The sequence below is a fragment of the Homo sapiens genome, chromosome 14 (assembly GCF_000001405.40).
Source record: "Homo sapiens chromosome 14, GRCh38.p14 Primary Assembly".
NCBI classification, from domain to species: Eukaryota; Metazoa; Chordata; class Mammalia; order Primates; family Hominidae; genus Homo; species Homo sapiens.
The window spans coordinates 85688555-85695281 of record NC_000014.9 but is presented as its reverse complement, the minus strand read 5'-3'; positions in this window follow the sequence as shown (position 1 = coordinate 85695281).

Here is a 6727-nt window from a genome sequence, read left to right as displayed (position 1 = left end):
CCTGTAGCTGTTCATATGTAGAGTCAAAGTGACAGGTAATTAGAGTATCAGCAAGAAGGGACTATGCTCAACTAAATTAGATAAAATGTGTTCATAAAAATCATTAAAAGCAAAAAATGGAAGCTAGAAGACTGAAAATAAGAAAAGAAAGAGACAAACATGAAGGCAGATCAAGAAACGTTAGAAAGGCTTTTGCTCTATTTCCTGGCTATTAGCAGTGGCTGGATTATATCAAAGACACATCAAGCAGACAAGTGTACACACTTTAGAAGCTTTGCATAAAAATCAGTACTAAAATATGTTTTATAGAGGATATGCACACTTTGGTCTACCTGAGTTTGAATTTCAGTTTTGCACTTACCGGCTGTGTATCCTTGGTAACTTACTAGACCTCCTGGTACATCAGTTAATTTATTTGTAATATAGGAATGACAATAGTCATCACCGCACAGAGTTTAATATTAAATGAGTTAATACATGTAAAGCACAGAAAAGAGTATCTGGTGCATAGTGAATAGTAAATAAATGTTAGAGTATTAGCTTTCTAGGCTTGAGGCAGCATAGCTCCAATCATTTTTTGACATTCTTCCTATGCCTGTTTGTCTGTCCCTGTGTCCAAGATTTCCCCTTTTTATAAGAACACCAGTTATACTGAAGTAAGTTCTACTCTAATGACCTCATTTTAACTTTATCATCTCTATAAAGACCCTATCTTCACATAAGGTCACATTCTAAAGTACTGGGTATTAGAACTCAAACACAATTAATCCCATGAAGGTAAATTATACATTTTTTGTGAGCATTTTAATTGCCTGTCATATTCTGTAAATGTTTTTCCTTTTGTAGAGTAAAAACTTACAAAGTTTACATTTCCTTTGCCAGTGATATGGTACACTTTATATCCTGCATTACCTTCTTACACCTTCTCATTATAAAATCTAACAATGTCAGTTATATGAAAAGCATTGCTTTGATTGCACGATAAGCTGGCCCAAAAAAAGAAATCTTCATATGCCAAAGACAATGTGAAAATAAGTACAGAAAGAGTCTCAGAGAACTGAAGAGCCCTTTATCCACAGCCGCTTACTGAACCATGATGAACATCAGCTTTGCTTCACAGATTACATATTTTTATAAAAGCAAAGAAGAGATAATCTAGTTTTGTCATCCTCTTCTTCTATACCCAGGCCCTGTCTTGAGCCTTAGTGCTAGATATAGAACATAGTGTCTTCTCTGAGGCCTGTTCTCATGTAATTTTTCAGCCTAAACTTACACAACTGGTGGAAGGAGAAGGTCCTTCTCAGGTAAAGTATTTCATTTCAAGGGTCTAACATTGACCACGCCCCACCAGAAACTGTCAGAAGCATATTCACATCCTCTCTGAAGGAACTCACCCAAATATTCCTCACAGTTAAACTTCTAAGCAATATGAGCCACAGATAAAATAAGTCACCAGCTCACAAAGGAAAAAGGTACCATGAGAAGAAGCCAGCGAAAATAACAACAGAATCAGAAGTGCAAAAATGTTAGAGACTGGGATTTATTATAAAGAAAGACACACACACACACACACACACACACAGATTCAGTAGGTTTGAAAAATGTAAGAGAAGACTGAATACATGTCAAAAAGTAAAATATGATTAATTAACAAAAGGACAGCTTTAAAAGGAAATAAATTAACATTTCCAAAATTAAAAATCTAACCATTAAAAGTAAAATTTCATGAACAAATTTAGGTCAGATTAGAATCATTGAAAAGTAATAAACTGTATGTCAGTTATAAAAAAAAATTAGAATAGAATCAAATAGTTGGAAAACCTGAAAGAAAATTACAAAGACGTACAGAACAAATTAAAGTCTAACGTGAATAACTAAGGAAGAAGGCATAATGAGGAAGTAGCAATCTTTGAAGATACAATGTCTTGGACTGTCTCAAAATTGGTGAAAAAAAGAAGATACAAATTCAAGTAGCCCAATATTTGGGGGTGGGGGTGAGAAAAGAAGAAATAAGAAATGAGAAAAAGAAAAGAAAAGGAAAGGAAAAGGAAAAGACGTATGGACTCAATTGGTGGCAAACTGACTTATTTTTGAAATAATTCTGAGATAGAGGTGAGAGATAAGATTTTTTGTAACTTAGAAAAGTTATTAAACAATGAAAAGTTTATTTTATCTTTCAGCTTGAATCACTCCTCTTGTACCACTTAACTCTTTATATACTTTTTATAAATACTGCTCCATTGGTCACTTTTTAAAGCAAATATAAATGCCTATTTTATTACTCCAAGGGAAAAATGCTATTTAGTAGTAACTCTATCTTGTCTATCTTAAAATAGACTCTTTTTGGTAAATGTTGTGCACTTAAAGTTTAGACTTCATATTAAGGCCTTTTCCACTTTTTTTTTTTTTTTTTTTTTTTTTTTTTTTGAGACGGAGTCTCGCTCTGTTGCCCAGGCTGGAGTGCAGTGGCATGATCTCGGCTCACTGCAAGCTCCGCCTCCCAGGTTCACGCCATTCTCCTGCCTCAGCCTCCCGAGCAGCTGGGACTACAGGTGCCCGCCACCACGCCAGCTAATTTTGTTTTTGTATTTTTAGTAGAGACTGCGTTTCACCGTGTTAGCCAGGATGGTCTCGATCTCCTGACCTCGTGATCCGCCCACCTCGGCCTCCCAAAGTGCTGGGATTACAAGCGTGAGCCACGGCGCCCAGCCCTTTTCCACTCTTAAAATGTGTGCCTAGCCCTTCTACACTCCCAATATATGTCTTAGTATGGGGAGCTTAGCTGTCCTTAGTGGAGACAGAGGAAGTGGTCTCCAGTTATGAAACTGCAGTATAGGCTTTGGCTGGGTGTTCTGGTCAGTTCTCCTCTGGATAGAGCCAGGAGGAGCAGCTCATAGATGTCATCCACATTAAAATACATGGTTTCCGTATAGCATAGCCTCTGGTTGGGAGGTGTGTCTACCTTTTCTTAAATCATGGCTTATTCAGGCTCACAGATTTACATGGCATTTTATCAACACACTCCCCCTCCACTCTCCCACCTACCTTAATTTCTGGACCTCCCATATGATACACTTAAGCTATAGGCAACCAGCAATGCCATCTAGAAGATCTCTCTGGACCCTCTTCTGCACGGCTGCACCACGATGGCCACTGTGCCATGCCAAATATGGGTCTTCTCTGGGAGGCTTCCAATTTCAACACATCACAAAATAGGGGAGCAGGGCACTAACCTTGAGCTTCCTGCATCTTCCAAAATCTATCTGAGTGATCCCTACATGCCCCTTTCCTCTTCTATTTCCAAGGAATTCAGCATGAAGGAGGCAGAAGGAATACTCACATCTGACCCCCTGCTATGTTCTGCCTACCCTGTGTCTGAGCTCCATCCCACCCTCCACCACTGGAAGGGCTCTCTATTTCTAATGCCAAATTCCCCTATGCTCTATCAATTTTCTTTCCATTTGCCCTCACTCCTTCCCGGAGCAATAACACAAAGTCTACAGGAAATGAAACAAGATTATCAAAAAAGCAAAAGACATGGTTGAGTGCTCAAAACAATTATTCTTATTTACATTAATTGGGCGATAATATCATTTATTCATTGTCAGTTTTTGTCAGATTCCTACTTTTCTGTATATCTTGCTCTAAGGTCACCTAATCTCATGATGGAAGGTGTTGAAGAACTTTCACAGTAGGAGATATTCAAGGAAATGTTTGAGAGCACTGCCTGAACATGGTATTCCCTAAACAATTTGTTCATTCTGTCCAACAAACACAGAAGCCATGTGGACACTCCAATAAATTCCCGTAGTACTGGTTGCCTTTATTACAGTGCTTATCACATTTTATAAAGGAATGCTTATCACATTTTATTAAAATTTTAAGTTTAAGAATCTTTCTGAGGCCTTTCAGAAATCAGAGAAGTCAGTATGTCTGAACCATAGTGTCCACTGGCAAGAGATGCAAAGTGGCTAGTTCCAAGGAACTTGTCTGTGCAACATGGTGAAAGCATCATTCTCATGGAGGCTTCCAAGACCTTACTGACCCTGAACCTCTTCTTCCATATTCCTTTGTATTCTATATCCTGACTCAATATCATATGTCCCCCAAGTTCAGATCCCGTGATCACCTTGTCTCATTTCTTGATTTTAATGCTTGGATCATCTTCTTAGTTTGAATATTTGCCTTTTGCTTGACAACAGTTTGGATTCTTCTGACTGAGCTCCTGTTTGCCTTGAGTAAACTCACTACCCAATCAGGTCAGTTCCCAGCACCTTCTCCCAGTAATCATGGTGAATGTTCCAACTGGTTCCCTCTACCTGTTAGCAGATCCCAGGTACAAAGCGCTCTACTATTTTCCTCTTTCAACTTTCCCTCTTAGTGTTCTCTTCATATTTCCCTTTCCATTTTCCCATATCACAAACCTCATAGAAAGATATAAAAATTATATGATTGTAATAATCATAAATTGTCATTTGTATTGCACTCAGCCTTCCATTCGTTCTCACTCTCTTTTAAATTTTATCCTTTACTGGGTAAGGAATTTCATATAGCTCATGATGTTTGTTTGGAAAATATGTTCAATGCAAGGATGCATTACTTTTATACTGCATTGTTGCTATTTTACCTCACACCTTCCCAATGTGAATGAAATATATAAAATAAAAAGTAATACATCGAGAGAAAAATGCTTTGAGAAAAATTATATAGCTTGAATGTTATTCTGCTTCTGTATTGAGTAAGATGCTGCTCCCATGCTCAGAAAAAGCAGTGACTCATTTCAGGGCAGGAAGATTTAACAAAAAAATAAGTAGAAACCTTGATTGCCCCAAACACTATTTTCAAGTTGGTGACATGTGAGATGGCTGGTTCAGAATTTTACCACTTCTCAACGTGCTTCTGCCTCAAAGGCCACACTTTTTCTTTCCACTATTTACCCCTTACTGTGGTATTATTCTATGGAGCAGTGGAAAGCTGTTTAGAAATACCCACCCATATATTTTCAACAGGGTCAATAAAAATTTTTGACAATCCGTTCTTTACAGAAAGTTCCTATGTTCTTAAATATGATTCATCGAAGGGTGAAAGAACTAAGAGTAGCAGCAGAATAGAGACATTCCAGAACAAAAAAATTATAAAACATAATCACTTACATATTTTAAAGTTTTCTCTGAATTAAATGAAAACAATGATTATTGAGTCTAAAAACAACATCAAATAATATCTCAAAGTAATGTTATCACCCAATATTCTTTTTTAAATTTTTTTTATTATACTTTAAGTTCCGGGGTACATGTGCTGAACATACAGGTTTGTTACATAGGTATATACATGCCATGGTGGTTTGCTGCACCCATCAACCCATCATCTACACTAGGTATTTCTCTTAATGCTACCCCTCCCCTAGCCCCCCATCCCCCAACAGGCCCCAGTATGTGATGTTCCCCTCCCTGTGTCCATGTGTTCTCTCATTGTTCAACTTCCACTTATGAGGGAGAACATGCAATATCACTCAATATTCTCTTTTTTTTTTTTTTTTTTTTTTTTTGAGACAGAGTCTCGCTCTTTCGCCCAGGCCGGAGTGCAGTGGCGCTGTCTCGGCTCACTGCAAGCTCCGCCTCCCAGGTTCACGCCATTCTCCTGCCTCAGCCTCCCTCAGCCTCCCGAGTAGCTGGGACTACAGGCGCCCGCCACAACGCCCGGCTAATTTTTTGTATTTTTAGTAGAGACGGGGTTTCACCGTGTTAGCCAGGATGGTCTCGATCTCCTGACCTCGTGATCCGCCCGCCTCGGCCTCCCAAAGTGCTGGGATTAGAGGCATGAGCCACCGCGCCCGGCCAATATCACTCAATATTTTAACACATAAATAAGACGGTGCTTTTAGAAAGGTATGGAAAATCTCTTTTCCTCCTTCAGGATGTAAAGATCTTCAGAGCTTACCATGGCTTTCTGACTTTTGACTGATGAGGTCTTTGTTGAAAAATTATTCCACAATTTGAGATCTTATAGGTGACCATAATGTATCCTTCTGTGCTTTGTTTAAATAATTCAGTTTTTTGCAGGGTTATATCCATATATTCTTTATTCTATGACTGGATTGTCACTTTTTTGTCAATTCTTCCAATTCTGTTCTATTATTAAACATAGCAAAAAGACTCATTCTGAGACATATTTTTCTGCAACTAAGAAGAATCACTGAAGTATCATCAGTAGATCTGTCTCTTCAAAATTATAAATCTGATGTCACTATCGGAGAAATGTGAAATACAGAGTGTCTTATAAATAAAGTTATTTTAAATATTTAATGCTTTTAAATGTACCGACAGTTAAAATTTTCTAAGTCTCATAATTAAAATCTCACTTTATTTGCTTTAAAAAGAAACACTTTGTATTAGTCCGTTCTCACGCTGCTATGAAGAAATACCCGAGACTGGGTAATTTATAGAAGAAAGAGTTTCAACTGACTCACAGTTCTACATTGCTCGGGAGGCATCAGGAAACTTATAATCATGGTGGAAGGCAAAGGAGAAGCAGGCACCTTCTTCACAGGGCAGCAGGGTGAAGTGAGTGCAAGCACGGGAAATGCCACATGCTTATAAAACCATCAGATCTCGTGAGAACTCACTCACCATCACGAGAACAGCGTGGAGGAAACAGCCCCCATGATCCAGACCCTATTACCTCCACCTGATCCTACTCTTGATACATGGGGATTATGGGAATTAAA